The following is a 17,296-nucleotide window of genomic DNA, read 5'->3' on the forward strand; positions in this document are numbered from 1 at the left end:
TGGATCCTAGAGGCAGAATCCACAAGACTTGCAAATGTGCCCTTAACAGCAGAAGCCATGAGAATGGGGTTAGAAGTGTCCTCCTCTTCCATCCTCCCTGATCTGTGAGGTCTGGCCTCTTGTCCTCTTCCAGAAATTGAGAGCTTGGAGGGTCATCACCTCAACCGTTGTCTAGTTCAAGCTCCTAAGTTTTCCTTGGAGAAAAATTTAGGCCTAAGGGAACACAGTCCTTCAGAGGCAGAGGCTGCACCAGAACCCAGGTGTTCCATGCTGCAAAGCAGAGTGTTAACACTGGTTCAAGAACATCTTGAGGGCCAGGTGCGGTGGCTCATGCCTGTAATCTCAGCACTTTGGGAGGCCAAGGCAGGCGGATCACCTGAGGTCAGGAGTTTGAGACCAGCCTGGCCAACGTGGAGAAACCCCGTCTCTACTAAAAATACAAAAATTAGCTGGGCGTGGTGGCGCCAGCCTGTAATCCCAGCTACTCGGGAGGCTGAGGCAGGAGAATTGCTTGAACCCAGGAGGCAGAGGTTGCAGTGAGCCGAGATCATGCCACTGCACTCCAGCCTGGGCAACAGAATGAGACTCTGTCAAAAAAAACCCAAAAACCAAAAACCAAACAAACACCCAAAAAACAAAACGAAACAAAAAACAAAAAAACAAAAGCACGTCTTCAGAGTTCATGAACCCAGGAAATGTAGGCACAAGTGTGTGTGTTTCTGCAAAATGAGAGGGTCCCGAGTTTCCTAACATACTTAAAGTGTTTTATGATGCCACAAAAGGCTGGCCCACTCTTTTTTTTTTTTTGAGATGGAGTTTTGCACTGTCGCCCAGGCTGAAGTGCAGTGATGTAATCATTGCAATCATGGCTCACTGCAACCTTGACTTCTTGAGCTCAAGCGATCCTCCTGCCTCAGCCTCCTGAGTAGCTGGGACTACAGGTGTTTGCCACCATGCCTGGCTAACTTAAAAATTTCTTTATTTTGTAGAGATGGGGGTCTTGCCATGTTGCCAGGCTGGTCTTGAACTCCTGGCCTCAAGCAATCTCCCTTTTTGGCCTTCCAAAGTGTTAGATTACAGGCGTAAGCCACCGCGCCTGGCCCCCACCTTTATTTTTATTTTTATTTATTATTTATTTTTTTTTTTTTTGAGACTGAGTCTTGCTCTGCCTTCGAGGCTGGAGTGCAGTGGCACGATCTCGGCTCATTGCAATCTCTGCCTCTGCGGTTCAAGCGATTCTCCTGCCTCAGCCTCCCGAGTAGCTGGGATTACAGGCGAACGCCACTACATCCGGTTAATTTTTGTATTTTTAGTAGAGACGGAGTTTCACTATGTTGGCCAGGTTGGTCTCGAACTCCTGACCTCAAGTGATCTGCCCGCCTCGGCCTCCTAAAGTGCTGGATTACAGGCGTGAGCCACCGCGCCCGGCCCCACTCTTAATAAATGCCTGTCTCCAGGTGCTGGGTGGGAGGTGGGATGGAATGGAATGAGGTGAGGACGCATGGATGCATGGATGAATGGATGGGAAGTTGAGACGACGCGCCCACACGAGGGAATTTCCTTTGAAAGAGAGCGAAATTCTGAGTTGGGAAACTCTTCCTTGAAACGCCTCCCCATACCCCAGCTGTGGCCTTCCCGTTTTCTGCGTGGTGGTGTGGGGGGAACTTCCTCAGGCCTCTCCGCAGTGGAGCCTCTTTCGGTTCTGCCAGGATACCTAGAGGCAGCGGAGAGCGGGGCAGGGAGGGGAAAACCGTGAGGGTCCCTGTGGCAGGCCCCAGCACCCATGGGATCTCTCTCCGGTCGCAGGAAGCAGGCTAGCTCCTAGCCCGCCTCGGCTTGGCCTTTGTGGGACCTGGGGGCAAAGAAGAAGAGCTGTCTCTGGGACCATGCCTCCTCCCGTACACAGCAAGATGCGTCCCTAAACTCCCGGGGGAATTAGACTTGTGGGAATGTTCTGGGGAAACTCCTGCGCGGTGAATTGCTGGGGGCTCCGCCCCCCCGATAGGTGGACCGCGATTGGTCTTTGAAGACCCCGCCCCTTTCCTGGGCGGGGCCAAGGCTGGGGCAGGGGAGTCAGCAGAGGCCTCGCTCGGGCGCCCAGTGGTCCTGCCGCCTGGTCTCACCTCGCTATGGTTCGTCTGCCTCTGCAGTGCGTCCTCTGGGGCTGCTTGCTGACCGCTGTGAGTTGTTTTTGCCCCGACCAGACGGGAGTTGGGAGTGGGGAATGAGAAGGAAAGGGAAGGAAGACTTCGGGGAAGAGGCCTTCCTGGCTGATTTTTGTGGGGGCAGGAGGGTGGGTGGGAGCTGGGCAAGGTGCCCCCGCTCCTGGCTGAATGGGGTGGGCTGCCTCTCTCTTCTCCCGGGCTGGGGTCCCGGGAGCGGCCTACAGGGGCCGCTCAGGGAAGGCACTGGCTGCCCAAGCGTGCCTAGACGGCCTGGACGGGTTTAGGGAGCCTCAGAGGCTGGCCACACAGAGACTGGTAGGGGGTTCAGAGGGCGGGAAGTGAGGCGGACCAAGGGAAGGGGCGGGTCTGGCCCGTTTCCTGTCCCCTTCTTATTGTGGACAGATGCCAGCCTCTGTAAGTAGTTATCATCTCCTTGCCAGCTGGGGCTGCCTTCTTCCAGGGCATCTTGTGGGAACAAGAGATGGGTGCAGAGGCCCAGGTACTTTTGTGAGAAGGCAAGGAGCTTTTAACATCGCCTTCCACCCCGAACCGTATCTTGGGTGTTCCAACCTAGGAGGAATCCCCAGGGCTTTGCCTTTTTCTCCTGAATTTAAGATGACATAGGAGACCCCTGGGGAGATGAACAGTTTATGGGACACAATAAAGGGTTAGGAGACCAGAGTTCTGGTTGGCTCTGACAGGGCTGGTGATCAGAGGGCTGGAGAAACCAGGGGTTTCTCCAGGCACCAGAGGGGCTCAGAGCCAACCAAGCATATCTCCGGGATTTTCAGAAGCCTACACTTGACTCACTTTTTGTTTAAATGTATTTTTGTAGTTCCTCATTCTGGAGGCTGGGAATCCCCCAAGTACCTGGCTCCTTCATCCCAGCCCCTCTGGCCTCCCCCTACTTTAGAGGGCTGTAGATTCCTGCCTGAAGCCTGGGCAGGAATGACCCATGGTATCAAGGAAAGCAAGGGAAGCAGCAAGGGAAGAGAGGGAGTGGGGAGGCTGCTTTGGTCCCACAGCTTTCACTTTCACCTGAAGCAATGGCTCTTAGGGAACAGGGAGGCAGGGGGAGGGCGGAGCTGGAAAGAGGTAAAGGGGGGCCCTTGTGGTAGGAGTGGAGAAAGAGCCAGAGGAGGTGGGGTGAAGGGTGTGATCCAGGCTTCTCAAGAGCAGAGTTTGCCCTCATAACTCCCAACTTTGGCTCCAGGTAGAGGCTGGGCTGTGACAACAATGTCAGAAGCTATCTATTGAGGGCTTCTTGTGTGTCAGGCTCTGAGCCAAACACTGCCTGTTTTCTTTGTCTGATTTCTCACAACTCCCCCATTATACAGATGGGCAAATTGAGGCTCAGAAAGGGGGATTGTCTTGCCAAAGGTCTCATAGCTAGCTAATGGAAGAACCTGGTTGTGAATCTACATCTGCATGATTCCCGAGCCTGCCTCTCAGATAGTGAGAGTCTCCAAGCTCTGGTCCTGAGCTGTTTTGTGGCAGAAGGACCAGAACTATGGGGAGTGAGAACTGGAGATTGACAGACTTTTAGGGGAGCGTTTTATTTCTCATGTGTTTGAAGATGGTATCAAGGACTTTCCTATCTTTGGGAGTGTGGGAGCTCCACGTTCACAGGATGGTGTCTTGCAATGAGCTGGTGGGGGGCAGTAGCCTTTTCTACTTCCTTTCCCATTTTGGGTAAGACACATTTCTGTAAGTAATTTGCTGAGATACCCAGGTTGAATGAGAGCCACCAGTTAGGTAGGATTCTGGACAGCCAGCCAGGTAGCCGGGCTGCTTGCCATATATCATGCAAGCAGAAACAAATGAATGATGATTAAAATTGCCATTTAATGAGCACCTACTATGTTCCTGACACTGTGCTAGGCCATATACATGTATTCTTTCTTATCTTCGTAATCCAACCTGCAGGGCAGGCATTATTACTCCCATTTTAGAGATAGAGAAACTGAGGCTAAGAGAAGCAAAATAACTAGTAAGTGTTACAAAGTCAGGACTGGAGTCTAAAGCTGTCTGACTCTCAAACTTGTGTTCTTTTCACTGGCTGTTCCCAAACTGTGGGACAGTTTTAAGGAGCACATGGACATAGAATTAAACATACACTTACTTTACAGTTCTTTTAAAAATCCTTCTCATTTTTTCAAAGAGGAAGTCTCTGGAGCTAGAATAGAGTTAATGCCTCTCAAAGGCTTGCTAATCCTTCTTTTAAAACAAAAATCAAGAGCAGGCCTGGGAGGGCCTTCAACAAGCAAACAACCAGCTGGGTTTTAATAACCTTGTTTTGTTTCCCCAGAATTTATTTTTAGGGTTACCTTTTATTTATGAGAAGTGATACTGGTTCTTGTCTCTTGGCAATGATGTGAGGTTTACATTTAAAGTAAATGTACCGGCCAGGCACGGTGGCTTGTGCCTGTAATCCCAGCACTTTGGGAGGCCAAGGCAGTCAGATCACTTGAGGTCAGGAGTTTTAGATCAGCCTGGCCAACATGGTGAAACCCTGTCTCTACTAAAAATACATAAATTAGCCGGGCATAGTGGTACACACCTGTAATCCCAGCTACTCAGGAGGCTGAGGCTGGAGAATTGCTTGAACCCAGGAGATAGAGGTTGCAGTGGGCTGAGATGATGCCACTGCACTCCAGCCTGGGCGATGGAGCGAGACTCTGTCTCAAAAAATAAAATAAAAGTATTGAAATTAACAATAAGTAATTAATAGCATGGGTGGTACCTGGATGTAGTAAAATGGTGAAGATGAAACACAAGTTGATGGAGAGAGGAGCATTGAGACCTGAGTTCTCATTTGGACTCTGTCACTGTGAGACTCTGGGCAAGTGACCCTCCTCTTTGGTGCTCAGTCTCAACTATCTGTAAAATGAAAGTGTGAGTTTACCCTTCCAGCTTTACATTCTAGCATTTTATGAGGGAAGGGCTGGATGAACAGATGATGAGGAGTTGGAGGAAGAAAACATGATGGGCTTTGGAAAGGAGCAGGAAGGGAAGCAGAAGAATAGGAGGAAGAGGCCAAGTGCTAAACATAGCCCCAAACAGCACTGGGACCAGCTGAAGTCAGCCAGCTTCAGGACTCCAGGGGAGCTGCTGGAGTCCCCATATCCTATGGGATCTTTGGGAAGAGGAATGACTCAGGCATCAAGCCCCAAGGAATTCTGTTCTGTTCAGAGAATATTGTGAGTTTACAGTACCATTGCTTTGTAAAAATACCAGAATGATTCTCTGGGTGCGATTATAATCAGCTCAGTTGACAATTTACTTGAAAACAAACATGCCAAATATCATGCAGGTTCCACTTTCTGTTTTGACTTGCACTTCAGTTTGCAGCCTCTGTCCTGGATGACTTTTACCTTTCTGCTGAAGAAGTTGCAACGGAGATTTCAAGATCCCTTCAAATTGCACAATTCTGTTTTTAGGTCCATCCAGAACCACCCACTGCATGCAGAGAAAAACAGTACCTAATAAACAGTCAGTGCTGTTCTTTGTGCCAGCCAGGTGAGATGCCAACCCTCTAGCCCCATCATGGAGTCCCCCTTTGCTTTGGTGGCAGACGCAGACCCCATATGTTAACTGTAAACTCAAATCTGAAACGACCCATTTCCCAGCCCTGCTTCACTGTCAGAATGTTCTGGTTCCCTCTCTACCAGGTAAAACTCTGTCTACCCTGAACTAGGGATCCCAGCTTCTCCATCTTCCTCGCCTGATTATGAAGGATCCAAGACTTTCATCTTTGAATCCCCTACCCTAAAGCCTGGCCTGATCATTGTGTGGTTAGTGTCTGACTCATGGAGTTGGCCAGAGCCCTCCCTCATTTCCTGATGTTTTCCAGGACAGAAACTGGTGAGTGACTGCACAGAGTTCACTGAAACGGAATGCCTTCCTTGCGGTGAAAGCGAATTCCTAGACACCTGGAACAGAGAGACACACTGCCACCAGCACAAATACTGCGACCCCAGTGCGTGCGCTGTTGGGAAAGGGACGCTTGGGAACCGGGCTGATATTCCCGACAATGCAGCCATTCTAATTTTATGTAGCCAGGGTCTGCTCTGATTGGTTGGAGTCCGGGCTGTACTGATCATTAAATGATTTGATTGCCATCTCTACTTGGAAGAGGGTCTGAGGAAGAAAGAGCAGGCAATGTGGGGAGTGAGGCTCAGAGCATGGCCCAGCAGGGGGTTCCCATCCTTCCTGCCCTTCTCTTCTCAGACCTAGGGCTTCGGGTCCAGCAGAAGGGCACCTCAGAAACAGACACCATCTGCACCTGTGAAGAAGGCTGGCACTGTACGAGTGAGGCCTGTGAGAGCTGTGTCCTGCACCGCTCATGCTCGCCCGGCTTTGGGGTCAAGCAGATTGGTAAGTGGCTCATCTGGGAATCAGTTTTGGAGGGGGACAGAGGAGCTTAGGGCCCAAGGTGAGGGGCTGGGCAGTGGGCACTTAGCCCCAGAGGCAGAGGAAGCAGAGGCTCCAACCTATGTCGGTATCCCCACTGGAGTGAGCTGCAGACGGGACCTTGTTCATTCTGCCTTCTGCCATGGGGATCTGCCTTTGAAGGGCAATGGGAGAAGTCCTCCTGGGGACTGCAGCTGTCGGGGGCAGTACCACATCGGGGGAAGAGTGCTCAAGGCAGGAGCTCTTCCCGTCCTGCCTGGCCACTGGCTGCCTTGTGAGCCGGACAGGTGGTCCACTGTGATGGTTAATGTCCCCCTCCCCACCCACTCCCAGCTACAGGGGTTTCTGATACCATCTGCGAGCCCTGCCCAGTCGGCTTCTTCTCCAATGTGTCATCTGCTTTCGAAAAATGTCACCCTTGGACAAGGTATAAGCACTCATCCCTTGTGTTTCCTGCTCTAAGAGTGGCATGGAGCTGCCTCCATTCTCTCCAGCCACCTGTCCTGTCCCTGCTCCCAGAGGTCCACACACACTCATGTACTTGTGAAGCATCTGCAGAGTGGCCTCATGGCCAACCAGACAGGCACATTTCCACATTTTTTTTGCCTGCTGTCTCTTTGAGGTAATAGACACTGTTGATCTCTCGCTTCATGAGAGCCTCCTATCTTGGGGGTATTGGGACACTTATTTTAGCTTTCCTTCTGCCCCTCCTGCTTCTCCTCAGTTTTCCTCGTCTTGCTTTCACCTTACCTGGCTTTCTAGGGCTTTCTGGGCTCTGGGTGCTCACCCTGAGGGCCTCCCTCTCTTACCTCCAACTCCAAACCCACACCAGGTCCTGCCACTGGCTGTCTACGTGTTTTGGGAACTTACTGTCTCCACTGTTGTCACTTTAGTTTGGGCCTCATCACTGTGGTCTGGGTGATGCCTTTTCTGCCTCCTGGCCTCCCTGCCTCTGTCTCTCCCCTCCTGCTGGTTCTGTCTCCATCCTCTTGCCAACATGAGCGTTCGACAGTTTCTTTCAAATCATGACACTCTCCTATTTGAGATGCTTCCTGTCTCTCTGTTGGAACTAAGACTCCTTAGCATGGCACCCAACCTTCCTGTTGCATTTCCTGCTCTCTTTCCTGCATCGCATAGCTTCATGCTACTTGCAATCCTCTGAACACACTGTTCATTCTCTTCCATCAAACTCATCTGCCTGGAATACCTTAAACATGGGCCCCAGGCCAGGCGCGGTGGCTCTTGCCTGTAATCTCAGCACTTTGGATGCCAAGGCGGGTGGATCACTTGAGGTCAGGAGTTCAAGACCAGCCAGCACAACATGGTAAAAACCCATCTCTACTAAAAATACCAAAAAATTAGCTGGGTGTGGTGGTGGGCGCCTGTAATCCCAGCTCCTCGGGAGGCTGAGGCAGGAGAATCACTTGAACCCGGAAGGTGGAGTTTGCAGTGAGCCAAGATAGCGCCACTGCACTCCAGCCTGGGCAACAGAGCGACATTCTGTCTCAAAAAACAAACACCTGCCCCATTAACTTTTTGCATTTGATTTTTAAAAATGGGCAAGATAGGCACATGGGACAGAAGGCACAAAAGAGCCAAAGTGATGTCTTTCTCCCATCCCTGCCCCTTAGGCTCCCAGTTCTTTCTGGAGGGAGCCATTGTTCCTTGCATATCCTTCCAGAGATTCTACATATAAACAAACCAACACACACACACACACACACAAACACACACAAAATTTCCCTCCTTTTACTTTTGCACAAATAGGAGTATACATTTTATTTGTTAACTGTCTGCCTTTCCCTAATAGATTGAAAATTCCTTAAATGTAGAAACTTGGCCTTTTTTTTTTCTTCCATTGATACATCCCCTATACCTGGAACAGTACCTGACGCATGGTAGGTGCTTAAATTTTTACTGATAAATGTTGACTGATAACTGGAGGCACCACTGGTATAGTTTTTTTTTTTTTTTTTTTTTTTTTTTTTTTTTGAGACAGAGTCTCACTCTGTCGCCCAGGCTGGAGTGCAGTGGCGCAATCTCGGCTCACTGCAAGCTCTGCCTCCCAGGTTCACGCCATTCTCCTGCCTCAGCCTCCTGAGTAGCTGGGACTATAGGCGCCCGCCACCACACCCGGCTAATTTTTTTGTATTTTTAGTAGAGACGGCGTTTCACCGTGTTAGCCAGGATGGTCTTGATCTCCTGACCTCGTGATCCGTCTGCCTTGGCCTCCCAAAGTGCTGGGATTACAGGCGTGAGCCACCGTGCCCGGCCACCAGTGGTATAGTATTAATGGAATCAGTGCATTGGCTTACGTATCTGATTACAGCTCAGTAAGTGTGTGACCCTCACTGAGCCTCAGTCTCCTCATCTGAAAAATGGGAATGACCTTCATTTCACAAGGCTTGAGCTAAAAACATGTAAAGTGTATTGTAAATTCCTGAATGCTCTACTCATGTAAGACTAAAGTAGGCCGGGCGTGGTGGCTCACACCTGTAATTGCAGCACTTTGGGAGGCCGAGGAGGGCAGATCATGAGGTCAAGAGATCGAGACCATCCTGGCTAATATGGTAAAACCCTGTCTCTACTAAAAATACAAAAATTAGCTGGGCGTGGTGGCGCACATCTGTAGTCCCAGCTACTCAGGAGGCGGAGGCAGGAGAATTGCTTGAACCTGGGAGGTGGAGGTTGCAGTGAGCTGAGATCGCGCCACTGCATTCCAGCCAGTCTGGCGAAAGAGCAAGACTCTGTCTCAAAAAAAAAAAAAAAAAAAAAAAAAGACTAAAGTACATGGTTTCTTCAAAGCTTCTCTCTCTTTCTCCCACCTTAGATGATTTTTCCTTTGCAATGTCCTGTGTCCATTCCGCCCCACTCCTCCTGGGGCCACCTGGACCAGGTCTTCATCATCTCATATCTATATGTTTGCTGTGTCTCCTGGCTGGCCACTCTTCTGTAATTTCTCCTCCTCTGAGCTCTCTGGGCAGCTGAATCTTCTCACTAGTGAAGTCGCCTGGTTGGATGCTGATGAGACTGACCAGCTGAATCCAGTTGAAAACTTCACACTTGGCAGTGATCTGGTTCTAAAGACACAATTTTCCATAGTTTCCTAACACCATCCTGCATGCCACCTGCCTTATTTCCCCACATCACATCGTCCCACTTAGCGGGACTGCACTGCTGATCCAAATTTTACATCCTTTAGGGCCCACTCAGGTCATATGTCCTCAGGGAAGTCTTTCTGGAAGAACCTTAAACCAGAGGTTCTCAACAGGGGGCAGTTTTGCTCCCTGTGGAACGTTTGCCAATGTCTGGACACATTTCATTCGTCACAAACGGAGAGGGGGATGCTACAGGGATCTGGCGGATAGAGGCCAGGGATGCTGCTGAACATCTGCAATGCATAGGACAGCCCACCCCCACCCCCACACCCCCAGTAAATAATGATCCAGCCCAAGTGTCACTGGTGCTGACGTTGAGTAACCCTATCTTAAGCTGAACTCATCATCTCTCCATTCCAGCCTTGGTGGATTCTGTCTCCTCTGAACCATTCCCATCTCACTTTAGCCTACCTAGATCACAAAGCTTGGCACTCATTATAGACTCCCCTATTTATTACTCCTTCAAGATGTGCAAGAATCTTTTCTCTGCACTTTTAAGTTCTGTAAGAAGAGTCTGTGTCGTTCCTATAATAACCAGCATAGGACGTTGCACGTGTTGTGTGCTCAGTGAACCTGGATTTGTTGATTGTTGACTGACTCACTCTAGAGTTGGAAATCTTATGCTTGGGGAAACTTAATATCTCTTTCTTTCTCTGTGTGTGTGCATTTGTGCACGTGTCTGTGCATAGCTGTGAGACCAAAGACCTGGTTGTGCAACAGGCAGGCACAAACAAGACTGATGTTGTCTGTGGTGAGTCCTGGACAATGGGCCCTGGAGAAAGCCTAGGAAGGTGGGAACTGAAGGGGGAGATGAGGCACACAGGAACACTGGATGGGAAAAAGGGGAGGGGAGGCAGTTTGGGGGTGTGGTATCACAGCTCTGCCACTTATCTTGGGAGTCTGGGCAAATCACTTCCCCTCTCTTAGCCTCAGTTTCTTCATCTGTAAAATGGGATGATAACAGCACTTCCTTAGTAGGTTTTGATTTTAGAGTGAGAAGGTTGGCCTACAGTAAAGATCAGATAATGTAAATCAGTGAAAAAGGTCAGGGGTAAGAAAATTACATTCTCTTTACCTAACGCTAAATGACCAGTTAATGGGTGCAGCACACCAACATGGTACATGTATACATATGTAACAAACCTGCACATTATGCACATGTACCCTAAAGCTTAAAGTATAATAATAATAAAATTTAAAAAAACGAAAAATACATTCTCTTTGCTTTTTCTCAAAATGTACTTTCCTCTTTGTAGGGCTGGGACTAGAATGAGGTGAGCAAGGCACTTGCCCTCGGGCGCAATATTTAAGAAGGTGCCATAAAAGTGTAGTAATCAAGGTAAATTCATTTTGATGCAATATTTTTAAAAATAAAAATTAATGCAAAGAAATCCATGATGAGCAAGATAGCAACATTTTAAATAAAGAACAGGATCCGACCCTGTGTTTGCATGACCCTGCCTCACTCACCTCACCCTAATCCTGGCCCTGGTTCCAGTAAAAGGAATAGGCAGCCAGCCTGCAGGCCGTAGTTTGCTGACTTGGTGTCCGCCTGATGATTTTCAAAATATGGCATTAAAAGAATGTTTACCTTGATGACTGAGTGTTTTGGACATCCTTTTCAATTTTGTCCTGAAACAATTTCATCCCTTGCCTCACGCTAGTCTCCGCCCTGCCTTTTGGTCTTTCTTTTATTTTCCCACTTTGAAAAAAAAATTCGGCATGAGAAATACTTTACCTTTCCCCTCCACTCTTCTATACCAAAAGCAACATGCAGACATGAATCATGCTAGACCTCGGCATTGGGCAGAGAGCAGGGAGTGGCGGGGAGCATGGTGAGCAGGTGGTGACAGCCACTGCCACCACTCGCTTCTAGATGGTTCCCAGGTGGGGAGGCTGCCAACTGGAACCCAGTCTTCCCAGTTTGTAAGAGAAATCAGATGTCTAGGTTTGAATATGTGATCTCCCAGTTTAAAAATGTCGGCAAATATTTCCAAACGTTAAGAAAATGTTCTGGCTCCTTTAAAGACATCTGCCAGCCACATTTCCCCAAGGACCGCGGTTTGAACCTTCTGATGTAGATGAGCTCTGACATTGGAAGATTCTGGAGTCTGACAAGTCACAGCAGGTTGAGGGTAGGGAGAAACTGCAGGTGAGGGGTGCATGCTGAAGTCCTGATTTCTCCAGGTCCCCAGGATCGGCTGAGAGCCCTGGTGGTGATCCCCATCATCTTCGGGATCCTGTTTGCCATCCTCTTGGTGCTGGTCTTTATCAGTGAGTCCTCAGGTGGGGAGGTGTTGGGGGAGGGAGGGGAGACCACCTGTTTCTTATCTGGCCTCTCCAACTCCCCATCCTTTTTTTTTTTTTTTTTTTTTTTAGAAAAGGTGGCCAAGAAGCCAACCAATAAGGTAGGTCACCCCTGAGAACCCGGGACAGAGTTTTGACAAACTGGGAAGATGGCCTCACGGTTGCCTATGGGGCAGTAAAACTGATTCAGAGTCTGTCTCTGCAGCCAGTGGGGTGGCAGCAGAATTGGGGACTGTCATCCCCACCCACCATGCTCCTTCCATCCAGAGCTCAATCCCCCACAGAACTGCCCCTGGCACCACTGGCAGAGCCTAACACTGGCTGTTCTTCACTCCTTTCCTGGCATTCAACGCGTGGGGAGCTGCATCTTTGGGCCTTGGGGCTGGGTCAAATGGGTGGGAGCAAATGTGGCAGCCCCTTAAGCCCACTGGCTCCCACTCTGGAAGCTCTTCGTCGCCCTTGGTGTGGCCAGCAGGGGGCAGGAGGCACCCGAGGAATCAGCACTGACCCGCCGTCTGGGAAAGGGGGGAGGGCTTGGGGAAGGGATCCGCTTCCCAGGGAGGGGCTCCTCAGAGGCACAGCTGCCCCTGCTGCTGGGGGTGACCTCACACCTTGCCTCTCCAGGCCCCCCACCCCAAGCAGGAACCCCAGGAGATCAATTTTCCCGACGATCTTCCTGGCTCCAACACTGCTGCTCCAGTGCAGGAGACTTTACATGGATGCCAACCGGTCACCCAGGAGGATGGCAAAGAGAGTCGCATCTCAGTGCAGGAGAGACAGTGAGGCTGCACCCACCCAGGAGTGTGGCCACGTGGGCAAACAGGCAGTTGGCCAGAGAGCCTGGTGCTGCTGCTGCTGTGGCGTGAGGGTGAGGGGCTGGCACTGACTGGGCATAGCTCCCCGCTTCTGCCTGCACCCCTGCAGTTTGAGACAGGAGACCTGGCACTGGATGCAGAAACAGTTCACCTTGAAGAACCTCTCACTTCACCCTGGAGCCCATCCAGTCTCCCAACTTGTATTAAAGACAGAGGCAGAAGTTTGGTGGTGGTGGTGTTGGGGTATGGTTTAGTAATATCCACCAGACCTTCCGATCCAGCAGTTTGGTGCCCAGAGAGGCATCATGGTGGCTTCCCTGCGCCCAGGAAGCCATATACACAGATGCCCATTGCAGCATTGTTTGTGATAGTGAACAACTGGAAGCTGCTTAACTGTCCATCAGCAGGAGACTGGCTAAATAAAATTAGAATATATTTATACAACAGAATCTCAAAAACACTGTTGAGTAAGGAAAAAAAGGCATGCTGCTGAATGATGGGTATGGAACTTTTTAAAAAAGTACATGCTTTTATGTATGTATATTGCCTATGGATATATGTATAAATACAATATGCATCATATATTGATATAACAAGGGTTCTGGAAGGGTACACAGAAAACCCACAGCTCGAAGAGTGGTGACGTCTGGGGTGGGGAAGAAGGGTCTGGGGGAGGGTTGGTTAAAGGGAGATTTGGCTTTCCCATAATGCTTCATCATTTTTCCCAAAAGGAGAGTGAATTCACATAATGCTTATGTAATTAAAAAATCATCAAACATGTAAAAAGAAAAACGGGGGTGAACATGCTGGGTGACATGAGCTATTTAACCTGCTGTCAGGCTCACGGAATGAGGGCATTTTCTGTAGATAAATAAGAATGTCCCCAGGCTGCTGCCCCTCCAGGGTGGTTTCCATGTGTGCTCACATGTGGTATTGAGATTGCAAAGTGCTCTTCCCATTTGATTCATGTTCACAAAAATAGCCTTCCCCAGCAGGGTGGGTCTGCATCCCTCCCTCTTTTACAGAGGTGGAAATGAGGTCCAGAGAGGCGAAGTGACTTGCCTGTGGTCACACAGCGGTGTCTGGTGGTGCCATGCTCAGAGCTCCTCACTCTGGGTCCTGAGCTCCTCCCAGATCTGCCTGCTGTCTGGAACTGACATCTGTAGCTCCTTCCCAGGGAGATCCTGGGTCTCTCACCGCCTTCTGACCTCCCTGTGGCTGCAGGAGCTACTGCTTCTCGGTCAGATGGTATCCCCTTCCCCCAAGCAGTATCTCAGGATAAAAATAAACCATCCTGTTCTCTTTTCCTGCTGAGCCAACTGAGGGGGAGCCTAGCCAGGAGGAGCGGCAGATGGAGTGGGAGCAGAGGGGAGGGGAGGGGAGGAAGGTTGGAGGACAAGGAGGAGAAGGAAGAGCAATGCAAAGTGCCATGCAGAACCCCGGCACAAAGGTTCGAGGTGAGGTTTAACCCAGGGGTCTCAGCCTTTCCCAGGAAAGAACCTGCTTTGGATTTCCCCAACACATCCTGCTGGCTGGAGGGTGTGGGGCGATGGGGGGCAAGGGGAGATGTGGAGAGGGCTTATCCCAGTGGAGGCTGTGAGGGCAGCTGCGAGCCAAGAGAGGGGCACCTGGCTTGGCAGGCTTCCCAGAAGAGCTTCAAGAACCATTTGGATACACCAGGTGGAGGCCTTTGGTTTAGAAAGTGGAGCAAAGTGGTGGTGGCGGGGAAGGGGAACTTTGGGACCTAATTCTTGTCTCTTATCTAGAGCCTAAGAGTGAGTGTTGTTCACTTCTTTGGTGGTATGGTGGAAAGAGACCAAAGACCCACGCCTGCCACAGATCATCTGTGTGGCCTTGGATGAGTCACTTTCACTGCTTCACTTCTCAGTTTCCCTATCTGACAAATGGTGACAATATCTGCAGCAGACGCTATTGATGCCTCCTGTGTTCTCTTCTAGGTCAGAGCTTCTCAAATTTGAGTGTGGGTCAGGCGCAGTGGCTCACGTCTGTAATCCCAGCACTCTGGGAGGCTTAGGTGGGCAGATAACCTAAGGTCAGGAGTTCGAGACCAGCCTGACCAACAGGGCAAAACCCCGTCTCTACTAAAAATACAAAAATTAGCCGGGCATGATGGCGGGTGCCTGTAATCCCAGCTACTTGGGAGGCTGAGGCAGAAGAATCACTTGAACCCGGGAGGTGGAGGTTGCAGTGAGCCGAGATCATGCCACTGTACTCCAGCCTGGGCAACAGAGTGAAACTCCATCTAAAATAACAACAACAACAATAGCAACAACAACAACAACAATAGCAACAACAACAAAACTTGAGCGTGTATCTGGACCACCTGCAAGGTGGTCCTCTCCACTATTTTCAGAACTGGAAGGATCCTTAGAACTCCTAGGGACCCATCATGCATCCGGGAACAAAAGCCCAGAACTGAGTAACTTTCCTGAGGCCACATAGAAAGCTCCTGGCCAATCTCTGTTTAGAACCAGAACGTGCTAACGCTGCCAAGAATAACCACCTCTTCTTGTTAAAGATCGTGGGGCCCCACCTCCTGTGTTTCTGATTCTGTGGGTCTGGGATGGAGATCAAGAATTTGCATTCTAAGAAGTTTCCCAAGTGGTATTGATGCTGCCGGCCCAGGGTTTATACTTGGGGAACTACTGCCTTCATATTTCTTTCTTTCTTTCTTTCTTTCTTTTGAGGTGTTGTCTTGCTATGTTGCCCAGGCTGGAGTGCAGTGGTGCCACCCCAGCTCACTGCAGCCTCCATCTCCCAGGTTCAAGTGACTCTCCTCCCTCAGCCTCCCAAGTACCTGGGACTATGGGTGTGCGCCACCACGCCTAGTTAATTTTTTGTATTTTTAGTAGAGACAGGGGTTTCACCATGTTGTCCAGGCTGGTCTTGAACTCCTCACCTCAAGTGATCCTCCCGCCTCGGCCTCCCAAAGTGCTGGGATTACAGGGTGAGCCACCGCGCCCAGCCAGCATTCATATTCCTATACTGTGTAAGCAGCCAGTTTCTGACTGCAAGCACTGGGGATCACTTGCCTCAGGGCTTTTCCAGGTCTTGAAAACATGCTTGGTGCAGAGGCAGGCCAGGTAAGCTGTAGATGGGGGAGTTAATTCCCCGAAGTACTTTCAGCCAGCCAAGGTTGAAAGTGGGAGGATAAATACTCAAGCTTCCTTGCCCTTGGGAGGGACAAATGTGAGCTGTGTTCTACAGTGTCTCCGAGGCTCCCTGGAGGGACTGAGCTATGGAACCTACAGTGGGCACTCTGCACTGATTCCCATCCTTTCCCTGTCTCACATCCCCTCTCCACCACTGGTGCTTCCCGGGTTCAACTCCCAAATAAACGACCTGCATTCATCCCTAGTCTCAGGATCTGCTTCTGGGAGAAGTTCCCCCTGAGAATCAGCAGAGCCCATGCACAACAATGTGCAATTTTGTTTTTCTTAGCGTCCCTAATGAAGGGAAGAGGTGGTTATTCTTGGCAGCGTTAGCACATTCTGGTTCTAAATAGAGATTGGCCAGGAGCTTTCTATATGGCCTCAGGAAAGTTACTCAGTTCTGGGCTTTTGTTCCCGGATGCATGATGGGTCCCTAGGAGTTCTAAGGATCCTTCCAGTTCTGAAAATAGCGGAGAGGACCAACCTCTTCAGGGTGTAGGGTCCTGCCCGGTGCGTGGACGGAGGGGGTGGCCGTGAGGCGCGCATCAGCCAGAAGGTGGCGCCAAGGTAACGCCCGAAGACCCTGGCGGCGGCTTGGGCTCCCTGAGTAAAGTTGGGTTTGCTGACTCGCCCCACACCCGCCCACACTTGGAAGAGGAGACCTTTCTTCCCTTGACCCCATCAGCCTGAGCCTCCTGAAGCTTCTACTCTGCAACTTCATCCATTCCCAGGTCTCATCCTTGTCATGAATACTTCCTTCCTTAACAAATACCAGCTGCGGTCCCACTGTGTGCCCCATCCGGAGCTAGGGTTGTGCACAGTGACACTGCTAAGACACTGAGTGCTCACTATGTGCTAGGCACAGCGCTAAGGACTTTGCATGCATTGCCTTAATCTTTATGACAGCCCTGCGTAAGACGTGGTCTCTTACAATATACTTTTTACAGATGAGATGCAGAAGTCAAATGACTTGCTAAGGTCTCGAGAGTTAGAGCTGGAATTTGGACCTAATTAGGTTGACTCAAAAGCCTGAGGTTTTTGCTCATTCAGTGAGTAGGAAAGTAGGCATATGTTGCGGGGTGATGTAAACTCATGCCCGCAGGGGCTGGAGAAAGGGCTGGGAGTCAAGTCAGGTGGCAGACGCTAGGCAAAATGGAGAGGCTCTGCCCATCTTTGGGGGACAGCCTCCATTGGCTCCTTCCAATGGTTGCCGAGCAGGAATGAGGGTTGCAGATTGTCTGGAATCTGGATTTTTTTTTTTTTTT

General features: G+C 50.1%; 1 protein-coding gene across 13 annotated transcripts, besides 8 other annotated features; it reads left to right on the plus strand.

The window, feature by feature from the left end:
• Nucleotides 1,282-3,379: a transcriptional cis regulatory region, noted in NCBI's record as "chr20:44746135-44748232 region (GRCh37/hg19 assembly coordinates) targeted for CRISPR interference". NCBI's record gives its function as "positively regulates CD40 gene expression in GM12878 lymphoblastoid cells {active_cell/tissue: GM12878}" and the evidence as "EXISTENCE:mutant phenotype evidence [ECO:0000015][PMID:33828297]".
• Nucleotides 1,321-2,137: an enhancer, noted in NCBI's record as "H3K27ac-H3K4me1 hESC enhancer chr20:44746174-44746990 (GRCh37/hg19 assembly coordinates)". NCBI's record gives its function as "activates a minimal SCP1, AML or CMV promoter by ChIP-STARR-seq in primed H9 embryonic stem cells {active_cell/tissue: H9 hESC(primed)}" and the evidence as "EXISTENCE:reporter gene assay evidence [ECO:0000049][PMID:30033119]".
• Nucleotides 1,879-2,098: a silencer, noted in NCBI's record as "fragment chr20:44746732-44746951 (GRCh37/hg19 assembly coordinates)". NCBI's record gives its function as "represses an EF-1alpha promoter that drives an FKBP-Casp9 reporter gene in an ReSE screen in K562 erythroleukemia cells {active_cell/tissue: K562}" and the evidence as "EXISTENCE:reporter gene assay evidence [ECO:0000049][PMID:32094911]".
• Nucleotides 1,903-1,962: an enhancer, noted in NCBI's record as "active region_17963". NCBI's record gives its function as "activates an Ori minimal core promoter by ATAC-STARR-seq in GM12878 lymphoblastoid cells {active_cell/tissue: GM12878}" and the evidence as "EXISTENCE:reporter gene assay evidence [ECO:0000049][PMID:35858748]".
• Nucleotides 2,100-13,644, plus strand: CD40 (CD40 molecule). 13 transcript variants are annotated; one of them, NM_001302753.2, is made up of 9 exons: nt 2,100-2,180; nt 5,606-5,684; nt 6,019-6,144; nt 6,396-6,542; nt 6,912-7,005; nt 10,426-10,527; nt 11,924-12,010; nt 12,116-12,144; nt 12,668-13,644. In NM_001302753.2, exons 1-8 carry the CDS (start codon nt 2,130-2,132, stop codon nt 12,141-12,143), a joined length of 714 nt encoding a protein of 237 aa, NP_001289682.1. In that variant the 5' UTR covers nt 2,100-2,129; the 3' UTR covers nt 12,144; nt 12,668-13,644. The 13 variants fall into 13 exon arrangements, 11 of the variants coding, with proteins under 11 accessions (NP_001289682.1, XP_016883624.1, NP_001309350.1 ...); XM_017028135.2 differs by having other exon boundaries at nt 12,121-12,144; NM_001322421.2 differs by having other exon boundaries at nt 10,426-10,487; nt 11,924-12,022.
• Nucleotides 2,973-3,322: an enhancer, noted in NCBI's record as "active region_17964". NCBI's record gives its function as "activates an Ori minimal core promoter by ATAC-STARR-seq in GM12878 lymphoblastoid cells {active_cell/tissue: GM12878}" and the evidence as "EXISTENCE:reporter gene assay evidence [ECO:0000049][PMID:35858748]".
• Nucleotides 4,367-4,456: an enhancer, noted in NCBI's record as "active region_17965". NCBI's record gives its function as "activates an Ori minimal core promoter by ATAC-STARR-seq in GM12878 lymphoblastoid cells {active_cell/tissue: GM12878}" and the evidence as "EXISTENCE:reporter gene assay evidence [ECO:0000049][PMID:35858748]".
• Nucleotides 13,706-13,855: an enhancer, noted in NCBI's record as "active region_17966". NCBI's record gives its function as "activates an Ori minimal core promoter by ATAC-STARR-seq in GM12878 lymphoblastoid cells {active_cell/tissue: GM12878}" and the evidence as "EXISTENCE:reporter gene assay evidence [ECO:0000049][PMID:35858748]".
• Nucleotides 16,854-16,903: an enhancer, noted in NCBI's record as "active region_17967". NCBI's record gives its function as "activates an Ori minimal core promoter by ATAC-STARR-seq in GM12878 lymphoblastoid cells {active_cell/tissue: GM12878}" and the evidence as "EXISTENCE:reporter gene assay evidence [ECO:0000049][PMID:35858748]".

This window comes from Homo sapiens, chromosome 20, assembly GCF_000001405.40.
Source record: "Homo sapiens chromosome 20, GRCh38.p14 Primary Assembly".
Taxonomy (NCBI): Eukaryota; Metazoa; Chordata; class Mammalia; order Primates; family Hominidae; genus Homo; species Homo sapiens.

Coding starts and splice junctions, on each gene's coding strand:
- CD40 (XM_017028135.2), top strand. CDS start 2,130: ATGGTTCGTCTGCCTCTGCAGTGCGTCCTCTGGGGCTGCTTGCTGACC. Junction 6,543..6,911: donor CTTTGGGGTCAAGCAGATTG/GTAAGTGGCTCA, acceptor ACCCACTCCCAG/CTACAGGGGTTTCTGATACC. Junction 10,528..11,923: donor CCTGGAGAAAGCCTAGGAAG/GTGGGAACTGAA, acceptor TGATTTCTCCAG/GTCCCCAGGATCGGCTGAGA.